General features: G+C 34.3%; 1 long non-coding RNA gene across 1 annotated transcript; it reads left to right on the plus strand.

Annotated features, from left to right (window-relative positions):
- Positions 1-14677: 14677 nt before the first annotated feature.
- On the plus strand, positions 14678-17965 carry LOC102467226 (uncharacterized). Its single transcript, NR_104999.1, has 3 exons — positions 14678-14735; positions 16169-16198; positions 17550-17965. It is a non-coding gene; the product is annotated as an uncharacterized LOC102467226 (long non-coding RNA).
- The last annotated feature ends 7616 nt before the right edge of the window (positions 17966-25581 follow it).

Raw genomic sequence — 25581 nt, forward strand, 5'->3', positions numbered from 1 at the left:
TCTGTTAAGAATTTTTGTAGTTTCAATTTTTTATCTGCATTTGCGTAATAATTATTGCTTTCTGTCATTTTTGACATTTCAATTTTGTAAAACTATCAAAAAGCAATTTGGGATGTTATAGTATCTTTTATTTAGAACTCATTTCTTAACAGGAAATCATATCCAGAGCAAGATGGAGATAGAGTAATAATTGACAGCTTTATCTGTTCCCCAAATACACATGTTTATATTTTAAAAAATATATTATTTTTATAAGATATATATATTACATATAAATAACATAGTGTTATAATGTATTGTAAACAAATGGAAATTTCAGGAAGGAGACACATATATGAATTTAAAATAGGCAACTTCTAAATATAAGTAGAGAGTAAAGTCAACAGAGCATATCCCTAATCTACTAGTTAATTTAGAAATATTATTAAATATGTGCCAAACACTATTTTTGGTGCCTGGGATATGGCATCAACTGGAACCCCAGCCCTAGATTTATATTCTGTGTCAAGGTCAGGCAATAGAAAACTGTACACTGAATGTAATATTAAGAAGTAATAATCACATTGACAAAACTTAAACCAGGACAAGCAATAGGCAGTAGAAAGTGGCAGCAGCAGGGGGAAAGGCTACTTTAGAGACGATAGTCAGAGAAGGCTTCTCAGAGAAAGTAGGGTTTCACTCTGTTCATTAATGAAATGAGAGCCATACAAAGATCTGAGTGAACAGCCTTCTAGGCAAGGGAAGAACAAGACCAAAGTTCTGGGGAGAGAACGAGTTTGGCAATTTCTTATGTGAAGAAAACCAAGAAGGCTGGTGAGGCTAGAGTTGATATCACATGAGGCCTTCTAACTTAGAAAGGAGTGGAAAATTAATTTCTAAATAAAGTAAAAAGACAAGGATAGCTTTGAGCAGGGGAGTGACAAATGCCGGCTTTTGAGGCCTCCATATTATTTTATGGTTTTCTCACTTCAGGAGTGTCCATGCTCCCCTCAGTACAGGAATAATCAGAGGAAGAGTCAGATTGCTTTGGGCAGTCTGGACTCAGTGCACAACTCATGGTTGTTCCATACATTTTAATCAGCAGTCCAGTTGAATAATTGGTTGCAAGAAACTACCTATACAGCAGTTAGTTCCCATTTTGTTCAAATATACCAACTGATTCATTAAGATTTTTCTGGAATTGGAGGATAATTAAAATGTTGGAATATAAATAGAGGTCTCTTAGTTAAAAGAGGAGTGAGAGACAATTCTGAGCATTGATTTTTAAAGCTCCCTAATCAACTGGGGCAAATACTCATGATTATAGGGACAGCACAAAATGGAACAGGTAGATTTTAAAAAAACCAACAGGATAAAAACATCATCCTCTAACCAACACGATACCCTTTGGGCTACTTGAATATACACAAAGACCTCAGGGCACTGGTAACACTTCTCTTCCCTGGTCGCACCTGACATAAAGCTATTCAGTTTTCAATATTTTGCTAATCATATCATATATAATGTGAACATATCTTTTTATAGAGTCTAATATTTCTGTTATATATTGCTTTATTGATAGCTACTTTAGTTGGGGTGGATTTCATTATATTACCTCTATTTCTTTGACAAGTACTTTTTCAGAATTCACTATGTATACAGTTAAGTAATATAAAATGTTCTCTTTTCTATTACTCCCTATCCTTGGGTTGTTTTATGATTGCAATGAAATGATGTTGTTACTAAAGTGATTATAAAGCACCTAATGTTTCTGGATGCAGAAAGGTAGGACCTTATTTTAGGGACATTTTTATGACCCAGAGGACTAAAAGTGCTGCAATGGTAGAAATCCATATTGTATTAAATGACATCATACATTTGGATTCACTCAGTGTTTTTAAAATCTGCTACCATAGTTTTCTCCATTTTAAAACACATGTAGACCTAGATTTTTGCTGAGGCTGCTCTTCAGTTAGCAATGTTCCTAAGTCTATCAACCTGCACACAACTTCATGCTCTAAATATGCCCACATCCATAAAAACTCACCAATACATTGCCCTGTTCCTCAGGACACTGTTCTCCAAACTGGGTGGAAAAGTCAGCCCTCCTAATATGTTGACTATCCAGCTAAAATGCACTTCTATAGTTTCTATACAGTTGTTGAGAATAGCGTGTATTAGGGAAATGGTACAGATAGGAAGAATAGTAAAGAGGCAATTGCAGTAAGAGAAATTAGGGTTTTTCAGACCCAGATGGTATCACAGTATGGTCAGAGACGTGGTCAAATTCTATCTATATTTTGAAGCCAGCGTCAACTGGATTTTCTCTCTCATTAGATACGAGGTGAGAGAAAGAAAAAGGTAAGGATAAATTCACAGTTTTTGTTGTTAGCAAATGGAAGAGAGGAGCCACCATTTTCTGAGAGTAGAATGGTTCTGGACAAGTTAAACGTTAAGTATCTGGTCGGTGTTCAAGTGGAGATGTTGAGAGATATGGCAGATATGCATATAAGTCAAGAGCTCATCAGAAAGATGTCTACTAGAGTTATACATGTTTAGAAGTCCTCATATAGATGGACAATGTAGGAAATAAGTTTAAATAAAGCAAAGGACAGATATATGAATTTTGGGACACTCCAATAGGAAGCAGTCCATTAGAATCAAAATAAAGCATATTTGAACTAAATAACTGTATCAATTATTTACTCCAAAATGAATAAAGGAAGAGAAAGAGAAACGATTTTGAATAATAACCAATGGGACTCTAAATGGAAGCATTCATTTTTTTTATAATAATATTTTGTAATTGGTTATAAATTTTCACCTCTGGAGAGCAAGAACTATGCAGTTTGATGATTTATAATACTTTCAAAATATTTTATTGACTTTATAATAGATAAATGAGAACTTTGTAATTTTAGAAAATAACTTTTATATTCTTGAGAGAACATGTGCAGATAAGAAATAATTTTCAAAATTGCCATTTTAATTAATGAAACCTTAAAATTACATTTAAAGTTGGATATGTGCTTTGTTATTTTTATTATATTATCTTTTCTTTCATGTATTCTTTAGTTATTTCATTATTTTTATTGAAAAGTTTGGGTTGATATTTCTTTTGATTAATTTCACTTCTTAATTACTTTCCATTAAGTATGTATTTCAAATTAATATATACGTATCATTTATTTAACTACTGTTTCAGGAGAAGTACAAAGGTTCATCCTAGGAAATACACTCCAGCTGTAAGACTATATTTTCTGTTATCTTCTATTATGTTAGGAAAATGTAAATTATATTGTGAAACAATTTGTTTTGGGCGTTCTTGACTGACATCCTACTTTAGCATTTACCCAAATTTAACAAAAACTTGTATTCATAAATCAGTTTGCTCTTAGTCAAGGATTATCATGAAAACTAAGGCATCCAGGTACGTGTGTGTCTGTGTCTGTGGTGGTGTGAGTGCATATCTATGTGTGTGTATGTATGTGGGGTATGTGTTTTTTCATGAGCACATTTTTATGATTTATTGTTTTTCATAATCTTTCTATAATAGACATGAATACATGTAAGTCAAACTAAAATTATTATGTATGGATCATTTGTTATAAGCCACGTATCAAGGGAAGCAACAATTATGCAAAAAAGCACAGTACTATTTCCCAAAATGCTAGTTTACTTCTTGCAAAGTTTTAAAATGCAGTGACTTATTTCTGTCAATGTGCAAGTTTCTCTTGTTACGGATTCTAAGGTGTTCACAGTTTAATGAGGTAAAAAACATGCCGAATGTCATTATGATACAACGTGAGAAGCAAAATAGTAGAAATAGATCTGCTGTCACACAGCTAAAGGGAATCACTAACCTGAAAAGGTGTAACAGAGAAGGTTTCCATATGGTATTAGCAATTTTTTTTTTAAATTATACTTTAAGTTTTAGGGTACATGTGCACATTGTGCAGGTTAGTTACATATGTATACATGTGCCATGCTGGTGCGCTGCACCCACTAACTCATCATCTAGCATTAGGTATATCTCCCAATGCTATCCCTCCCCCCTCCCCCCACCCCACCACAGTCCCCAGAGTGTGATATTCCCCTTCCTGTGTCCATGTGATCTCATTGTTCAATTCCCACCTATGAGTGAGAATATGCGGTGTTTGGTTTTTTGTTCTTGTGACAGTTTACGGACATGGATGAAATTGGAAATCATCATTCTCGGTATTAGCAATTGTATTTCTGGAAGAACGTCTAGGATGTTTAAATGTCTGCCATCTCACTCTCTTTTTTCTTAGCTAATTGCCTGTCATCTACCAGGTCTTGCTCTTGTCATTTTCTTAGGGATTTCTTCCCATGCACCTCTGGCTGATGGATGTCCCTTTGCTATATGTTCACCTCCTATCAATGGTATTCATTTCTTTACATTGTAATAATGTATTCATTAGTGAAATTATTTGCTTGCTTTTCACTGGACTTCCCTCCCCATCAGAACGAATGCATGGAATATGTCTTTTGTTCACCCTTGTATCCCGGCACCTAACAGAATGCCTGACCTGACCAAAAGGAGGAGCTCAATAATTTCTTACTGGATGAAGAAATAGGAAATTTAAAAAATAATTGAAACTTCAGCTGTGTTAGTTAAATATTATGTTTATATTTTTATCAGATCCTTAAATAACTAAATCACTTTTTCAGGTCCCTTTGTGTTGATTTTACTCAACACAAAATTTTAGAGTAATAATTTGTATTATGGAACTATTAGGTATGTTACTTAATAACGTGCTTCTTATTCTTTTGGCTCTTCAGCAAGTTTAAATATTATCTTCAAAAATTCATAAATTTTTCCCTTTATTGACCTTCAAAGTTGCCTCATAATAAGTATTTCCTACTTCATCTTTTTTTATATCTCTATCACAAATATATTCTGAATGCTTTTCTTGCTCATTTTTTAACTTTAGCTTTCTCCAACCCTGAAACATACAATGGTCTTGTTACTAGTTAGTTTTTCTAAGTTCTATTTGCAAATTTAACAGTAATTATAATATATGACTCTGTCTGTATTTTAAAATTATATTTTATTTTTAGTCATTCAATATACTGAAATTCTAACATTAGAAAGATAAAATATGTTTTACCTCAGGAATATTCTAAACAAGAAAATATTAGGTTGGTGCAAAAGTAATTACGGTTTATGCCATTGAAAGTAATGACAAAAATCGCAATTGCTTTTGCACTAACCTAATAATTTTAATTGAATGTACTTTTCCTTTGCACAAAGAACTTGTAATTTCCAGTGTTATTACTTAGAGTTAATTATAACTTTAATAACTTGTGTCAGGCAGAAAAGAGAGAAAGTAATCTTTCATACCATTACCAAAACTTTCCACTTGTTGGTAGTTTTTCCTGTGGGATTTTTTTTAAATCTGAGATAAATGATATAAACTGATATCAAAAGGAAAACAATTTATAGTTCCTTTTGGGAGGTCAAATTGATAATAATAATATTAAAACCCCATGGAATTCCAGTCCATTAAGAGATATACATATTTGTGAAAAAGAACATCATACACTTTATAAAAAATAAGGATAGGCTAATATCTGCATAGACAAAACTAACTTTATGTTGTTTTTGAAAGACATTTTAAAAGAAAAATGTTTCTGCTTACCTCCAAATTAATGTCTCCTATCATCCTCTGAAATGTCTTTTGTTTAAATAATAAAATCTTCCCTTGAGCTAAAGCCTTATGAGTGTACATAATTAGGATATATTAGTAAGTTGACATGACTGTGTATTGATTAACCAAAATCAGAAGCCTAATGTAAGAAAATATATTTAGTAATATAGATGAAAAATGTAAACCTCACACTGTGAAGACTCTGGAATCTGCTATCTTCCTTGGAAGAGTATCAACTTCTTTGTTTCAGCAGACAGGCATTAAATTAGACGGACTTAAACATTAAACACCAGCATTTGGGTATCAATTCAAATCACCTAATAATGCTGATTATTAAATCACTTAACAATACCTAATAAAGACTGTGGATTGTTCAAAAACTATGGAAGAGTATATATACAATGTTGATCACTCCCTCTCTGGTTCTGTTTTTTCAGGATTCCCCTGACCTCTACAACAAGTTTGGTTGTCTCATATTCTCTCCAGTTCCTTAGGCCAGCTCAAGTTTTATCAGTATCTTTTGGACCCAATGAGTCCTTCCTGGCCTCACTCCAGAAGAAGACTGGCCTCAGTCCAGAGAAACAAAAAATGTGAAATTCACCCACTGGAACTCTCCTTCTCCAAGTATCAGTCTCCTTCCAGAATTTCCGGCTTCTGGTCTCTTTTCAAGGAATTTAGAAGGTACTTTCTATATTCTGTCCAGAGTTTACATCTGTCTACAATACAGGGTTGCTCTGATACTAGCCTACTTCTTTATTTGTGTGATTTTAAAATTAGTTATTACTCTATTCTAATTTGTCTAAAGTCATCTATTTTTCAGAAATATTTACAGGGGCTTACTTTCTAATTTATGTTCGAATACAGGTTACTCTATCTAGCAGTTTATCTCATTTGTTCTTTCAAAGACCAAACTGCTGAACTCGTTAATCTTTTGTGTGGTTTTCGTGTCTGAGTTTCTTTCAGTTCTGCTCTAATTTTGATTATTTTTTGTCTTCTGCTAACTGTGGGGTAGTTTGCTCTCCTTTCCCCAGTTCCTCTAGGGATGATGTTATGTTGTTAATTTGAGATGTTTCTAACTTTCTGATGCAGGCATTTAGCTCTATAAATATCTTTTTTAACACAGCTTTAACTGTTTCCAGAAATTCCTGTATCTTATATCTCTCTTCAAATTTGTTTCAAAGAATTTCTTGATTGCTGCCTTAATTTCATTGTTTACACAAAAGGTACACAATGTTGTTTAATTTACATGTATTTGTATAGTTTTGAGCATTTTTCTTGGTTTTGATTTCTCTTTTTATTGCACTATGGTCTAAGAGTATCGTTGGTATGACTTCAGTTTTGAATTTTCTAAGGATTGTTTTACAGCTGATTTTGTGGTCAGTTTTAGACTATGTGCTCTGTACATATGAGAAGAATGTATATTCTATTGTTTTTGTTGGGGAGAGTTCCGCAGATGTCTAGTAGGTCCATTTGGTCAAGAATCAATTTAAGGCCTTGGATATTTTTGTTTATTTTCTGTCTTGATGATCCATCTAATAGTGTCAGTGAGGTGTTGAAGTCTCTTACTATTATTGTGTAGTTATCTAAGTCTCTTTGCAGGACTCTAAGAAATTGCCTTATGAATCTAGGTCCTCCTGTGTTTGATGCAGACATATTTATGATACTTAGAACTTTTTGTTGAATTAAACCCTTTAACATTACGTAATACCATTCTTTGTCTTTTTAACTGCCTGTTTTGTCTGAAATTAGAATAGCAACACCTGCTTTTTTCTATTTTTCTTTTGCTTTGTAGATTTTTCTCCATCGCTTTACTTTGAGCCTATGGATGCCATTGCCTATTAGGTGGGTCTCTTGAAGACAGCATTCCACTGGGTATTGCTTCTTTATCCAACCTGCCAACTGCACATTTTAATTGGGGCATTTTGTGCATTTACATTCAAGGTTTATAGTGATATGTGTGGATTTGGCCCTATTATCATCTTGTTTGCCGGTTATTACGTAGACTTGTTAGTGTGGTTGCTTTTGTAGTGTCAATGATCTATGTATTCAAGTGTGTCTTTTATGGTGGCTGGAAATGGTGTTTCTTTTCTATATTTAGCACTCCTTTCAATTAGACAGGTCTGGCAGTATATTAGGGTTCTCTAGAGGGACAGAATAATATATATATATATGTGTGTGTGTGTGTGTGTGTGTGTGTGTGTGTATATGTGGGAGTTTATTAAGTATTAACTTATAGGATCACAAGTTCACACAATAGGCTGTCTGCAAGTTTAAGGAAAAGGAAGACCAGTCTGAGTCTCAAAACTGAAGAAGTTGGAGTCCAGTGTTCAAGGGCAGGAAGTATCCAGCACAGGAGAAAGATGTAGGCAGGAAGGGTAGGCCAGTATCCTCTTTCATGTTTTTCTGCCTGCTTTATCTTCGATGGCAGCTGATTAGATTGTGCCCACTAGATTAAGGGTGGGTCTGCCTTCCCCAGCCCAGTGACTCAAATGTTAATCAGCTTTGCCAACACATTCACAGACACACCCAGGATTAACACTTTGTATCCTTCAATCTAACCAAGTTGACACTAGTATTAACCATCACAAGTGGTAATGTATCCCCTTTGCATTTGCTTTTCTGAATAGGACCTTATTTCTCCTTCCTTATGAAACTTAACTTGGCTGGATATTAAATTATTGATTGCAATTTATTTTCTATAAGAATTCTGATTATAAGCATCCTATCTCTTCTGGCTTGTGGGGTTTCTGCTGAAAGTTCTACTGTTAGCCCAGTTGGGTTCCCTTTGTAGGTGACCTGCCCCTTCTCCCTAGCTGCCTTTAACATTTTTTCTTTCATTTTAACCTTGGAAAATCTGAGGACTATATGTCCATGGGATGGTCATCTTGTGTAGTATTTCATAGGGGTTCTTTGCACTTCCTGTATTTGAATGTTGGCCTCTTTAGGAAGGTTAGGGAAATTTCCATGGACAATGTCCTGAAATATGTTTTCCAAGTTGTTTGCTTTCTCTCCCATTCCTTCAGAGTTGCCAGTGGGATATAAATTTGGTCTCTTTACATAATCCCATATTTCTTGGAGGTTTTGTTCATTCTTCATCTTTTTTCTTTATTTTTGTCTGACTGAATTATTATGTAGAACTGCTCTTCGAGGTCTGACAGTCCATCCTCAGCTTGGTTGATCATGCTGTTAATACTCGTGATTGTTCTCTGAAATTCTTGAAGTCAGTTTTTCAGCTCTATCAGATCACTTTGGTTCCTTCCTAAGATGGCCATTTCATCTCTCATCTCCTAAATCATTTTATTGTATTCCTTAGAATGCTTGGACTCCCCTGAATCTTGATGATCTTCATTTCTGTCCATATTCTTAATTCTGTCTGTCATTTCAGTCATTTCAGCCTGGTTGAGAACCACTACTGGAGAACTAGTGTGGTCATTTGGCCATTCTGGTTTTTGAGTGGCCAGAGTTCTTGTACTTGTTCTTTATCATCTGTGTAGACTGCTGTTCCTTCATTTTTTGAAGTTGCTGTCCTTCGTATAGGTGTTTTTGCTGTTACATTTTTTTTTTTAAACTTTCAGGGTTTGATTGTGGTAAACACTGGGTTCAATAAACTAGCTTCATTTCTGGAAGATTTTCAAGGGAAAAGACTCAGCTTAGGACTCCTGGCCTGGGTACTCTAACCCTGGGGCCTGGTGTCAGGCCCCCAGCTTTGTTCTCTGGCCCCTGGAGGCTGTGCTGGAAGGGGTGAGGTGTTTCCAGATCCTGGCCAGAGCACTCTGATGACTGATGCTGGTGAAAGTGCTTTGTTAGATCGGCAGCAATGGGATCTATGCTCATTCACATGTGCTAGCAGCAGCAGCAAGGTGGCAGGGTGCTTGCACATTGACTGGGTGCAGGGTACCCATAGGAGTGGGGCTGCAGTGTTCCTGCATGCACTCATGCTGGCAGCAGAGGTGGGGCAGAGTGTTACTGGGTGTGGGCTGCCAACCTCCATGCACACATTTGTAGCAGTGATGGTGGTTGTGCTAGGGGTGGAGTGGTGGTGTTGTCAGTGTCCACATGTGCATTCACATGGGCAGCAGTGGTGGCACAGGTGGGGCAGGGTTTCAGACCTCAGCGTGTGCATTCACATTGGTGGCAGAGGCTTTGTGGGTAGGCAGGCTCATCCTATATTTTAAAGCTGGTAATTAAAGACATTATGACACTTGGTAATTTTTGTTTCTTTAAGCTGTAGTTTTTAGCAAGAATAAAGATATCAACAGATGCTAATTACTGAAATTTAACTTTTGCTGTTCCTACTGGAACTTACCAAATGTTCTGTTGCATTATTAGATCTGTTTTTCTGGACAAAATATACCTTGAAAACACACATAATAAGAGAAAAAGATTATGGTGAAGTAATCTCCAAAGTTTTCTAAGAGATAAGGAAATAAAAAGTAAAGGGACAAAGAGAAATATGAATGAGGACTGCCTCTGGCTACATACGGAAAATGCTACAATTAGATGTTCAATCAGAGGGCAAGTCTGAGGGGAGTTAGAAATCCTACTATGGGTGCAACTCTAAAATTCTGAAAAAGTAAAGGGATGGTGGAAGGAATTATTTTTGAGAAATATGGCTTCTACTCTGAAACCTTTGATTCTGGGCTTAATTATTTAAGATAGTTCTTGCTAGTTATCCTTGCAGTTTTACTGGTGTAATTGTAAATTGAGTGTTACAATTCCTCTTGAAGTCTCCTAATAATCTATCAGAGGTTTCTTGTTCCTTTTGTCTTTTTGGTCAAATTCATAAAATGAATATAGTATCTTGACAACCTGTTTTAAACATTGCTTGTTTATCCAACTTGCCAACTGCACATTTTAATTGGGGTATTTTTGGACCCAATTAAATAAAGCCTTTACAAAAGGCTTTTATTTCTAGTGCAGTGAAGGCTTTACAATTATTGCATTTACTTTTAACAACAACAACAATACATGGTTTGCACACATTTCATTCCCCTTCATAAACTCTCTCTCTTCTTCTTTCTCTTCGTACTTGTCCTTCCTCCTCCTCCTCTCTCCCTCTCAATGGTGATTTAAAGATAGTCTGTTGCTATTTGAGGACTTTCACAGATCCAGTAACATGGCCACTAGAAATTTTAGTTTATGTCTTGATCCTGATCAAATGCCTGGCTCTTCCATCCATACCCTTAAGTTTATCCAGTGTCAATTTGATAGGGACAGAAGGAAGCCAAGTGCCTAGGTAGGTAGGGGCAGGTACCCTTTGAAAACCCACCTCCAAGCCAAAGACAGTTTAAAGCCTGAAAGCTAAACTACAAGCACCGGATTGAGAACTTGTCCTCCTATTTGGCTTGCTTTCCTCTGATCCCCACTCTTCACCTATTTTACATACACCTAACCTTTTCTAATTGGCTTTCTACACTGCCCTACCCACCTTTAAATGGTGCTTTCACTTTAAGCTTTTTTGCATACTCACAAAACAATCATCATGCACACTCCATCCTGTGCCTGTAAAGGCCCCAGACTCAGTTGGTAGAGAGGAATATGGCCTGACTTTGGAGAAGAGACAACCTGACTTCAGGGAAGATTACCTGCCCTTCTTTTCCCCTCTCTAACTCCCCTCTCTGCTGAGACCTGTTTTCATCTATCAATAACATTCTCCACCTTCACCATCCTTCAATTGTCCTTGTGACCTCATTCTTCTTGGCCACTGGACAAGAGCTTGGGACCCACCAAGTGAGGGTACCCAGAAAAGGCTGTCACACTGGTGCTTTGCCCTCATTGGTGGAGAGCAGCCACACCATGCAATGAGGCAAGGAGCCAACTGAGCTGCTAACACACTGCTGTCTATCATACTGCAGACAGCAGAACTAAAAGACCACTGTAACACCCCCTCTGAGGCTTTGGGGTTGCAGGCACCCTCACTTGGGTGCCACTGTGTTCCCCTCAGGGCAACACACCTGGTCTGGCCATGGGCCCCCATGTGGAGCTTGCTCCTGTGTCAGTGCCTGGAGTGGCCATCTTGATCTCGCACTAGCTCACTCATGTGTTCCCTCCCACAAGGGGCTGAGCACAGAGTGTTGAGTAGATGGGGTGCCCCTGCCATGAGTCCAGTGAAGGGGCTGAGAAAACTCCTGCATCAATTTCATAGTGATTTTTTTTTTCAGCATTTGTGTTTGTTTTTTTTTTTTTTTTGGCCTCTTTCTTTAGCAGGGCCAATCACACTGCTGTCACTGGCTTCAAACTAGAAAGCTGAATCTACCACTTCCCCTCCTTGGCAATTCCTTCTACCCTTTACTCTGTAGGAGCTTCTGTTGCCTGTGTGTTGACCCAGGGCTCACCAATTCAGACCAGTAACTTCATTTCTGCCTAAATGAAAATACAAAATACTATTTTGTATATACCAAATAAAAGTATCCATAACTAGGAAATGAAATGAAAATACAAAACAGCTTTGAAAAAAGTCAAGAACAAAAGAATCTTTGTAGTTTGTCTTGAATGCAATACAAGCAATTCTCACAATTGGCCCATATGATCTAACCAAAACAATTCATTAAACTTGAATATGTTGATGACATATGAGAATGTTGTGTATAGCTGATATGGTTTGACTGTATCCCCACCCAAATCTCAACTTGAATTGTACCTCCCAGAATTCCCACGTGTTGTTGGAGGGACCCAGAGAGAGGTAATTGAATCATCGGGGCCAGTCTTTCCCGTGCTATCCATGTAGTAGTGAATAAGTGTCACGAGATCTGATGGGTTTATCAGGGTTTCTACTTTTGCTTCCTTCTCATTTTTCTTTTGCTGCCACCATGTAAAAAGTGACTTTCACCTCCTGTCATGATTCTGAGCCTTCCCCAGCCATGTGGAACTGTAAATCCAATTAAGCCTCTTTTTCTTTCCAGTCTTGGGTATGTCTTTATCAGCATCATGAAAATGGACTAATACAATAGCCTTTAAGGAACTGTGACTGAATTATATCTGAGTACCCTGGCACTTAGGAGCAAAGTATCCCATCTTTGCCCATGACTGGGCATGCAGATGTCAACAATAATTGAATGCAAGTGCAGCTCTACAAATAAGAAAAATTACGAGATAGTGGTTTGTGAGAAAGGATAGAAAAATAAAGAAGCTGCATTTTCAGTGCTGAATGTATTGTGATTGAATTACTAGATAGTTTCATCTGTCATTGTGGCTGAGCATAAAAAAGTCATACACACAATGCAAAAAAGAAAAGTACATTAATATATCCTACATTAGACTAATCATTTTTGGTATATGGGTTTATTAAATCAGTTGCTATCCATATTTGTGGAAGAATAATACAAGTTAATTGTTCCTACTTTTGGTATATTTCAGTTTCCCAAATGGCTCTTCAGATAATTAATATAGTGGAACTTGTACATGGGATAGGAAACCAAGTTCCTAAGCAAGTATGACTGGCTTGAGTATCACCCTAAACCAAGGTAATGCAAGAGCAGATAAGAATAAAAATAGTGGTAATTATAATAATACTGTAAATAGAATATCCAATGTGCCAGAGATGATTCTGGCACAATGGCAGGCTTTGCCTAGGTGAAGAAAATTATACTTCATGAGAATGCCAGAGTTTTCAATCTATTTTGAGCCTTAGGATCAATAGATGTTTGCCCACTGATGCACTTTTGGCCTTAATTCACCAAGACAAACTTGGCTTTTAAGATATGCTATCTAGATTTCCATATCATTCAATTTATAACAATTTTTCTCAATGCATTCATTCAAGTTTACACCAATTTTTGAATACAAACTAATGTGCCAGTTAACATACTAGGTGCTGTGTATACATTGAACAGAAATGATACCTGTTGTCACAAAACACAAGTATGCATTAAGGAACATGATATTTCATATTGATATTACTATTTTGTAAAATTAATCTGAATTAATAAACTTAATTTTAGACCCACAAAATGCAGGGCTGAGACATGTTCTAGCTTTCTGTATCTACTTCATATGTTACTATTTTAGATGGACTATCTGAATAGATGGAAAAAGCAGAAAATATATTTGAAGCAGCCTTAAAAATAGGACAAAATTGAAATAATTATCAGTTCACATTCATAGCAGATTGACACATATTACTGTATCAGATATGTACTGGACAGTGTATCTGTTAGATATTTATAATTGTATTTAAAAACATAAAGTAAGGTATGGAAGTATTAAAAAGCTGAACATAAGTTAGCCATGGTAGGGGCTTGAAGTTTTTGTAGAGCTCAAGAAGTATTCGTTTTATTTCTATTTTTTTAAGTTTTCAATGAAAATGTATAAATGGATTACCTATATTCTTCAAACATCCTTTAGTATTCCAAGATGTTATGTTTTATTTTATAAGTGACCTAACATCAGGCACTGGATGAAGAATAACATACACCTTCTAGCATTCTCATCAATGTAGTTTTCAGCATAAAAACATTAACATTTTTGTGTTTTTGTATGGTCTCCAATGGGACTAAATTGAAAATGAATTAAAACAAGAAAAAATAAAACCAAGTTAACTCAGTAACCAATGGGACTGATACAGTAAAAACCATTAGTGACAGAGTATTAATAGATTGGCTAAAATCTATTTAAAAATTGCTCATTCCAAATATGCAGTGTTCCATGTAATAGAATATAATACTAAGCTAGAAATTTGGATTTGCTTATGTAAATCTGGCTTATTCCACATAAATAAGATATGTGGCTTAAGCCAGTGACTGAATTGTGAATTTTTGTTGAATTTCTCTGGATTTATTTAAGATGAAATGAATATTGAATGAAAGTACCAGAAAATGTATTACTTTACTTATAAGATGATATGGTTTGGCTGTGTCCCCATCCAAAACTCATCTTGAATTGTAATTCCCATATTCCTCACGTGTTGTGGGAGGGGCCTGGTAATCAAATCATGAGGGCAGTTACCCTCATGCTGTTCTCGTGATAGCGAGTGAGTTCTCATGAGATCTGATGGTTTTATAAGGGACTTTTCCCCTTTTGCTTGGCACTTCTCCTTCCTGCCACCATGTGAAAAAGGACATGTTTGCTTCTCCTTCTGCCATGATTGTAAGTATACTGTTTATCTCCAAGCTGATCAATTTGTATATTTTAAATATGTAAAGCTTTTTGTATGTCAGTAATATCTCAGTAAGTAATTAAAAATAAAAATTTGGTCACTCCTATGTTTAAAAAAGAAAATAAATTTTCTATCATTGCCATTTTGCTAATAATTTTTAAAAATCCTGGGTGTTAAAATATGTGAGATCCTTTTGTTGCGTCTATCGTGTGAGCTTATCTTTTGTTAATGTAATAAATTGTTTATTTGCTTTTTGATTATTAAAGCAATTTTGTATTCCTGAAATGAAACTTAGCCGTGATCTATAGTACTTTCTATACATTACTGAGCAATTGGATATGCTGTTTTTTCTATTTTCTGCATATCTGTTTATGATTTTTATTGCCCTATATCTAATATCTTTTTAATGCTGTTGTCAGATTTTGGTATAGAGCTTATGCTGGCACAAAAAAGAGTGAGAGGTATGCCCTTTTACTATCCCCTGAAAGACTGTTTTGTAAGATTGATGTTAGTTGTTACTTATAATAGAAAAAGATATTGCTAAATCTATCCTTTTTGAAGATTTTCACTTGCAGATTCAATTTCTTTAATAGACATAAAGCTCTACACATTTTCTATTTATTCTTGAATCAGAATTGGTAAGCTTGGGCTTTTATAGAATTTTTTACTTCTATCAAAATTTTCAAATGTTTTTACATAAAGCTGCCATAGAAATTATTCATATTTGTAGTATTGGTATAGAAGTAAACTTTTTTTATTTCTGATGTTTGCAATTTATAATTTTCATTTTTAAATTTTGATATTGATTTATCAAATTTATTAGTGTGTTAATGAACTAGTGTTTGGCTTCATTGATATTTCTATATTCTATACTTGTTTTCTAATTCATCTATTTCTATCATATTTCTTTTAATTCTATGTGAGTTTAATTTGTCACGTTATCTTCTAGCCCCTTGAAATGAATGCTTAAAGACATGATATTCAGTCTTTCTTTTATAAAATATACAGGCAAGGTATATATTAAGTATATATATATATATTTGTCCCTAAGTCATGTCTTACTTAATTCTTACAAGTTTTTATGTGCCACAATTTTATTTCCATTCCATTTAAAATAATTTCTAATTTCCACTGTGATATCATTAAAAAAACATGGGTTATTTAGATGTGTTTTCTTTTAAAGTTAGAATTTTTTGATTGATTTTTTCACTTCATACCACTGAGGCTAGAGAAAATGCTCTTTATGATTCAATCATTTGAAATGTATTAAGGTCTTCTCTATTTTTCAATATGTGGTCGATGTCTATGATTATCATTTGTAATTTTAAAAGCAGGGATAATGTGCAGTCATTGAGTGCAGAAGTCTATATATGCCTATTATGTAAAGTTTGTAAAATAAGTTTTCAATCTTCTGTATCCTTAGTTCCCCTATATTCTCACCAGTAACTAAAAGGTATGTTAAATATTTTCATATTATTATTGATTTATTTATTTCTTATACACATTTTATCAACTTTGTAATTTATACACTTTAAAGCTAAATTTTGATACTTAGATACCTTTAGGATTGTTATATCTTCCTGCAGAATCCATGCTTTATTTCATAAAGAAATGCCCTTTTTATGTCTTGTTATGCGTATGATTTAAAATCTTTGTTGTTAGAAGTAAATTAGTTTTCCTGATGATTTCATATATTTCTCAATCTTTTTACTTTCAACTGTTCTGTCTCTATATCTGTAATTTTTAAATAGTTGTTAATGATGCTATTTTTATTGTTTTAAACCAGAATCTGATAGTTTTTTTCTAAACAGGAGAATATGCTCAATATCTATTTCATGTGTTTAGTGATGAATTTCAGTTTATATCTACAATTCTATAATTCCTTTGTTTTTATAGTTCTTCTCCTTATTTGACTTCATTTGCTTACATCAATATAATTTTATTGTTATATTTTGTTCTATTTATCTGATAGCAGTGTATTCCTTAATATTCCTTGGCATATTAGAGTCTAATTTAAACCATGCAATATTAGAATTTGGATATTATAATGCTATGACCACACTTATTCCCTTTTTATATTTTGAGCTATTGTTGTCATATGTTCTAATTCCTCATATATTTTAAACCTCAGCATTTCATTAATTTATTATTTTAAACAGACAACATTCATTTTTTGAGGTTTTTTTTTTTTTTCTGCAATACTGGATCAATGTCAGAGATAATGTTCCGTCTGTGTAAAGACCTCCTTTTAGAAAGAGGTCTTTCTATTGATAGTAAATTTTGATAATTCCATATTAATGATTATTTATTTTTGATATTCTGAAGATTTAATGTAATAGTTTTTTATACTTTCATTATATCTGAGTTTTATTTATCTTTTGATAAACATATATGTTATTTATAACATATGTCTTTGAGAAAGAATATTTAAGAGTCAATTTGTTTTTAAAGAGAGTCATTAGTGAAATGTTAAACTGAAGAACAAGCCTTAATAGGTTAAGAATAAATTTGAGGTGAGACAGAGTATAGCTTACTGTATCTGATTAGCGCCATAATTTGTTAAAATTAGGGTGGAAGAAATACCTCAAAGAGAGAAAAACAGAAAATATTTACGTGAATATGCTACGCAATATATCAAACCTCATATTGAACTTAATGCTCTCTATATTTTGATCACTCTTTCCAGAGTTCTCTATTCTTAAAATTCTTTCCTTCTGGCCTACCACTGATTATATGCAAAATATTCTAGTCCTAGTCGAAACTACTGGCTCAACTACACTGAGGAAAATAATATTTCCTTCTAGCATAGTGTCCAGAATGAATCTAAGTAGAAGAAGGGAAGACGAGAAGGACACAAGAAGGAAGACAAGGAAAAATGTCGACCTCAAAGAACTAGAGGAACAACACTGGAGTTATACGAAACACCCAGAATTAGAATCAGAGCAATTTGATTGGATTTACTACAGCTGATTCTAGATACAAGAACTTTACCGAGCCATTTACAATTTTTGTGCTTCAATTTCATCATTTTAAAACAGAAAGAAAGCATTTACCTTATACGCTTGTTGCTTAGATTATAAAGGAATTATCTATATAAAAAGTACAATAAAGAAGAATATAAATGTAAGAATGTAGAGGGTCACAAACATTGTTTGAAATATCCATGCTTTTCATTTTGGAGTGAAAAGAGGAAAAATACTAACTGTAAAATTAAATTCATTACTATATCAAAGTCAAGCCTGCCTATCAAGTCATTTGACAGTTAAAAATGTTTTGTTTATCCCATAAACTTTATGAAAAAACTAGTTCATTGCCAAAGGGATGTTACTTACAGCAAAATCTCTAGAAGCTCTGAAATAGAATTTGAGTTTTATTTGCATTTTATTTTTACATTCTTACTACTCTACTAACTACATTCTGCCTAAGTAAATATGCTCAAAGCTTTAAAAGTAGGCTGAATGAATCACTGGTGGAAAAATAATGACCAGGAGCCAACAACAAGCTGAAAAAACAAGAATCCATAATCTCCATATGAGAGGAAACTGTGTGGTAAGATGGATTTAATGGGTCTGGGCTAAAATGGTAAAAGTATAATGGATGTAGCTAAAACAAACAAGGTCCAACTCTAAACCAGCACAAGAAAAACAGAGCAAGGGCATTTGATTTCATTTAAAAGAAATTAAATTTTAAATCAAAGTAAAAAATGTAAGTCATTACAATATTGAGGTAGTTAGTGGAGTTGACTGTATAAGAAATTGGCTACTACTTTCAAAGGGCTTCATCATTTTAAAGCTATACAAATATTTGTCTTGGATAAGGTTAAAATTATGAAGACATCAAAATTCAAAGAAAGTTCAATGCCTTTTGGGGGTCAGAAAGTCTGAAAATAAAAAATTCATGTATTTTCTTTTGTTCATAAGAAATGAAAAGTGGTCTTTCATTTTTTCCCATCTAATATATCAATATAGCAACTTTTGTCAAACAAAGGAGATAAACATCTGGGTTACTATGGGTAAGTTTTTCTCTTTCTTTTCTTAAGGGCAACCATGCTTTCCATTTGTCTGTAATACTAGAAATATTTCACTGTATTTTTCTACTCTATGCCTCAACTCTATATTTGACTTCATTAGATTTTATAAATTGTCTCTAAATTTTATTTTGTGTTTATACTCTAAACAAATTTATACTTTAGGGTTTTTGCCTATGGAGTCGAAATAGTTTATCATTTTCTGACTGTAATTCCTGTAACATATTTAAAAATTAAAAACTAACTTTTTTCATGTTGAATTATATTGGAACAATGTTTTCTTCCTTATTTTTATATTTTTTCTTTTAAGTTTGTTCCCAATATCAACAAAAAATATATTTTTAATGTGCCTTTATTTTATCTCCACTCACATAACTCCTGGGAAAATTTTTTTTCTTGAGGATGAGGAACTATTTTAAAAATCATATTTTCTGTTCTTTACGATGCAAAACACTCTATGCCAATCCCTTTATTTGCCTTGTGGCCAGTCTCAGTATTTAAGATGGTTATTAGTAAGCTATCCAAAGACATGTAAAAACTGAAGCTCAGAGAGGCTAGGTAATATGCTTAGCTATTAGCTTGGTGCAAAAGTAATTGCAGTTTTTGCCATTACTTTCAACTCTAAAAACCACAATTACTTTTGCACCAACCTGATACTTAGCACAACCAGCTAGTTACTGAGCAATGGAATCAAAATTGGAACTCATTTATTAAGCCAAGGTTTCTCTTTGTTCTAGTATATGAGGTTGCCTGTGGAAGAGTCAAAAAATTAAAGATCTGACTGTAGCACTTTTGCAGTTTTTCTGTTTCATCATTTACAGTTTTGCTATTGGGGTTTGTTTTCTATGTATTCCTTATTATTTAAATTTTCAGTAACATGACAAGTTACTGAAAGAGTGAATAGTGTTTTATAAGTTAAAGGCCTACACAGGCAGATAGTTTGAAGTCAGGAGTTCAAGACCTGAATGGGAAACATAGTGAAATCCCTTCTCTACACAAACGAAACAAAACAAAACAAAACAAAAAGCTGAGTGTGGTACGCCTGTAGTCCCAGCTACTTGAATGGCTGAAGTGGGAGGATCTCTTGAGCCCCAGAGGTTGAGGCTGCAGTGAGCCATGATCGCACCACTGCACTCCACCCTGGGAAACAGAGCAAGACTGTCTCAAAATAATAATGATAATAATAGTAGTAATAAGAAGAAGAAGCTGAAGGGGTTTATATGATACAATTTCTGTTATGTATTATGTTGTATATGTGTTATGTAAAAAAGAGAAAAAGGAATCACAAGATTTTCACCATGAAACCAGAATGTGTTAGCGATTTTTCTCATGGAGGTGTGATTACAGGTAATCTTTAGTTTCTCCTTCATGCTAATCTGTGTTTTTTAAATTTTCTACAATGCCTACAGATTATTTTGATACATATTATTTTTTAAGAACAACTGTTACTACAAATACCAAAGTGTGGTTAAATTATCCCTCTTTTGTCTCAAAATATGGGAACTGAGAATAATAGTTTAAAGTATAAAGGAGATCTATCTTTATGTTATTTATTATACTTTAAGTTCTGGGATACATGTGCAGAACATGCAGGTTTGTTACATAGGTATACATGTGCCATGGTGGTTTGCTGCACCCATCAACCTATCATCTACATTAGGTATTTGTCCTAATACTATCCCTCCCCTAGCCCCCAACCCACAAACAGGCCCTAGTGTGTGATGTTCCCCTCCCTGTGTCCATGTGTTCTCATTGCTCAACTCCCACTTATGAGTGAGAACATGTGGTGTTTGGTTTTCTGTTTCAGTGTTAGTTTGCTGAGAACGATGGTTTCCAGCTTCATCCATGTCCCTGCAAAGGACATGAACTCATCCTTTTTATGACTGCATAGTATTCCGTGGTGCATATGTACTACATTTTCTTTATCCATTCTATCACTGATGGGCATTTGGATTGGTTCCAAGTGTTTGCTATTGTGAACAGTGCTGCAATAAACATATGTGTGCCTGTGTCTTTATAGTAGAAAGATTTATAATCCTTTGGGTATATACCAAGTAATGGGATTGCTGGGTCAATGGTAATTTTGGTTCTAGATCCTTGAGGAATTGCCACACTGTCTTCCACAATGGATGAACTAATTTACCCTCGCACCAACAGTGTGAAAGCATTCCTATTTCTCCACATCCTCTCCAGCACCAGATCTATCTTTAAATCCCATTTTGCTCCTAGCATTTAACTCCTACAGTTATGAAGTTTAGAGAGGCAATAAATATAAAGCACTTGAGACAGTGCTTGGCATGCAAGCAGTGATTAATTAAGCAAGAGCAATTTTGTAAAGTAGCATTTTATCAATTTTATGAGATTCTGGGGTGCATTCTATGTTAGGAGGGATATCAGGGCACCCTAGAATGGGGTTTTGTTTGTGATAGGATGACAAGGAGAACTTATGTGGCATAGAGCTGTAGCTATGCTAATTTTTTATTTTGCTGCAGAGTTGTAACATGTCTAAACAATGCCCTGCCAACTCAGAAGCCACAAATAAGGGCACACAATTTTACAATTTGCTGAATCTTCTTTCTATTTATTTGGAAGTTATGGGATATGACAGAGGAGGCCCTTTTAGGGAAGCTTCATTCAGCCTGTCCAGTGAGAGAGTTACTCACTTCATCCTCAAGGTGAAACTACAGAAATTGCTTTGCCTTTGCACTGCCCTAGGAACTGCTGACCACTCTACACTATTTCTAAAATGCTGATCAGATCACAGTTTCTCAATCAACTCTTTCTTATTAAATTCCTTCCAAAGCTGTCTCTGTGCTGCTTATGCTTCCGTTAAAACTTAGATATTTAAGTTAATTTTCATTTGTTTTATATGTCTATTTCTCCTATTACAAACAATAAACTATGCAGAAAGTGATTGTGCAACTTTAGTCAATAAATTGTAAAAACTTAAAAAAAATCAGTATTTATGGATTGCTTGGAGAATACATTGTAGTTAACTCTAAATGAGCAGATTATCATTTTATTTATTCCAAGGAACTGAAATAATCAGAGGTTTAGCAGGGGGTACTAAAAATGTTTAAATAATTGAAACTTTTCTCAATAATTCAAAAGAATAGGAAAACATTTTTCTTAGGGGACAACTTGAAATATTTCTTAGGCGATTTCTGTATAAATAATATGACACTTGCAACAACTTTTTAGCTTTTCAAAACAAAAGAGAGTTATACTTCTTCCTAAATTAATAAAATATAATAGCAACATCATCTGTCTGTAGTACACAATTAAACTATACTCAAAGGCATAAATAATAAAATTCTGTTCAAGCAAATGCATTGCATTTGTTTTTAAATGGACCATTAAAGTGTGGCTTTGAAACAAGCAGCAAATAAATCCATTGTCAGATTTTTCTAAGTACTATTCTTTACTAAATTTAAGTATTCCTTCAATCATATATTCATTATGATCACTGTATATAGCCAAATGCAATCTCCACACACATGAAAAAAAATTCTGGCAAAAGCTATGAGGCTAAGTTGGTGAATTAAAAGTCTCAGCAATTCTAATTTTTTTGCTTTTAGAAATAATTGGTGAAAGTGTTCAGATAATAGAAAGAGAGAGAGAAAAAAGATAAAGGCCTCCAATATTTTGTTAGGTGGGACAAAAAAGAAATAGGAATTGCTCTTTGTTGCAGAAGTTGGAGACAAGTGGTTCATCCAACTTTTGTAGTGATTTTCTAAACAATTAGATCATTTGTTCTGCAAAGTGTTCTCTGTTACCACCGATCTAAGCCTTCTCATTTGTTACTACAGTTGGAGAATTCAGGTAAGGGGTATATTTAGGATTGTTCTTTCCTAACATATATAGAGTAACTGAAAGATTCCTAGGAAACTCTCTTATAGTTCTTGTTAAAGACACATTTAGATCCCAGGCTTGCTGATGATGTGGTGGGCATGGGAGAAATGGCTGCTTTGCATAAGTGTGTATGGGGGAAGAAGGATAGAATTTAAAATTATACCCCTATGCCAAACAATTTTACTTTGTTTAGATCATCCTCTATTTTGCTACAGAATTTAATGTCTTAATTTAATTAAACTTTATACTAAGTATTTTTTCTAAATTTTACACTACATATATCCATCCCAGAGTCTCATATAGCATGTTTCATGCTTGATGTACACTAATACTAAACAAAGTAAATATTGTAAAAATTTTAAACTGTCTCACTTTTTATTGTTACAGGTAGGTTTAAAAATAACAGATCTTTCAGTATTAGGAAACATAATTTTAGCAATCTGATATGGTTTGGCTGTGTCCCTACCCAAATCTCATCTTGATTTATAGTTCCCATAATCACCACGTGTCATGAGAGAGACACAGTGGGAGGTAATTTAATCATGAGGGCGATTATCATGCTGTTCTCATGATAGTGAGTGAGTTCTCATGAGATCTGATGATTTTATAAGGGGTTTTTCCCTCTTTTACTCAGCACTTCTCCTTGCTGCCATCATGTGAAGAAGGACGTGCTTGCCTCACTTTCTGCCATGTTTATGTTTCCTGAGACCTCCCCAGCTATGCAAAACTGAGTCAATTAAAACTCTTTCCTTTATAAAAAACTCTTTCCTTTATAAATTACCCAGTCTTGAGTATGTCTTTATTAGCAGAATGAGAATGGACAAATACAGGAAACTGATATGGGTAGAGTGGGGTGCTGCTGTAAGGATACCTGAGCATGTAAAAGCTAATTTGGAACTGGGTAACAGGCAGAGGTTGGAACAGTTTAGAGGATTCAGATGATGACAAGAAAATGTGGGAAAGTTTGGAACTTCCTAGAGACTTGGAGGGCTCAGAAGACAGGAATATATGGGAAATTTTGGAACTTTCTAGAGACTTGTTGAATGGCTTTGACCCAAAATGATGACACTGATATGGACAATGAAGTCCAGGCTGAGGTGGTCTCAGATGGAGATGAGGAACTTGTTGGAAACTGGAGCAAAGGTGATTCTTAACTGTGCTTTAGCAAAGAGACTCGTGGCATTTTGCCCCTGCCTTAGAGATCTGTGGAACTTGAAATTGAGAAATGATTTAGGGTATCTGAAAGAAGAAATTTTTAAGCAGTAAAGCATTCAAAAGGTGACAGAGCATAAAATTTTGGAAAATGTGCAGCCTCATGATGGTGTAGAAAAGAAAAACGCATTTTCTGGAGAGAAATCCAAGCCAACTGCAAAAATTTTCATAAGTAATGAGAAGCCAAGTGCTAATCTCCATGAGAATGGGGGAAATTGTCTCCAGAACATGTGGGAGACCTTTGCAGCAGCCTCTCCCATCATAGACCCAGAGGCCTAGGAGGAAAAAATGTTTCCTGGGCTTGGTCCAGGTCCCACCTGCTGTGTGCAGCTTCAGGACTTGGTGCCCTGAATTCCAGTCACTCCAGCCATGGCTAAAAGAGGCCAAGGTACAGCTTAGGCCATTGCTTCAGAGGGTGCAAGGTCAGCCATGCTTAAGTGTGAGTCAATTAAACCTTTTACTTTTATAAATTACCCAATCTTGGGTATATCTTAATTAGCAACATGAGAACTAATACACCATTCTTGTGAATAGACACAAGTCTTTTTAGTCTGAGCTAGAAGAAATTGTTCAGATAAGTATGTGGGTCTCTAAAAATACATTTAAAACAATAAAGGGCCATAGAATCTTATAATTATTTGTATTGAATTGAATGAATTTAATACTATACAGCTTTATTTTCAAAAATGTAACATACATAAAATATAGAAACATATTCCATTAGTCTGTGACTCTTCAAAAATAAGAAACTTCTAGCATCAATTAATAGTAAGTAGAGACATCAAATATGCATCATTCCAAGGCTTTTAAATATTGTTGCTATTCACAAGGCTATTATGTATTATCAAATGTTCAATAATGACTAATATTGTAATTAGCATTTATTTCAAACACATTATGTTGTATATCAAAGTAATTATAATGCATTTAGCCTTGTTTTCAGATTTATTGCAAGTACTAAATTGTAATAATAGCTAAAATTTATTTCTGATTAATGTATTAATCTTATGTTTTATTACTTTCATAGAATGCAGGTATAAAAAATACATTTTTCAAACTTACTTCAAACTTAGTCAAAATTATATTTGTAAAATAAAAAATACCTTTGATAAGACAGCTGAAGTAATGTGTGTTTGATGATCAGAGGTTTGAATGCATAGCCTACAATTTTTTTACAAATAATATATTCACTCAATATACAAAACTCAACTGTTTTATGTATATTAACTTTAATCACCAAAATATGCAAATATTGTCTGCCTCTTTTTTAAATCCAGAAGGTCTCATTTTTCCCAATGTGTCTCCAAATCAGATTCACTTATAGGGATTCACTTACAGGAAAACTTGTGCTGTGCTATTTTTTATGATAATTGATTTTATTGTTTGGTAGTTCATGACAGAAGAGAGAAGAGAAGCTCGAGGCAGGGCCTGTATCCAGAGGCTAGAGACCCAGTGCAAGAGCTTTTGTAGCTGGTATATAACTATGTCTTACAGCTTTGAGTGCATGTATATTATTTGTAACTGCTTTCATATGTGATAATCTGGTCTAAATTTAGTGCAAAATCACAGGAAGCAAATATATATATATATAAAATAAATAATAAATATATATATATTTATATTTATATCTCTGAAAAGAAGCAGTCCAAGTTGGGGAGTATACTGAACCAAAATTCTGATTCAATTAATATATTAAATTGGAATCATTCCCTGAAGCTCTGGGATTACTCTCTGCACAGATATTG

Source organism: Homo sapiens, chromosome 5 (assembly GCF_000001405.40).
Source record: "Homo sapiens chromosome 5, GRCh38.p14 Primary Assembly".
NCBI lineage: Eukaryota > Metazoa > Chordata > Mammalia > Primates > Hominidae > Homo > Homo sapiens.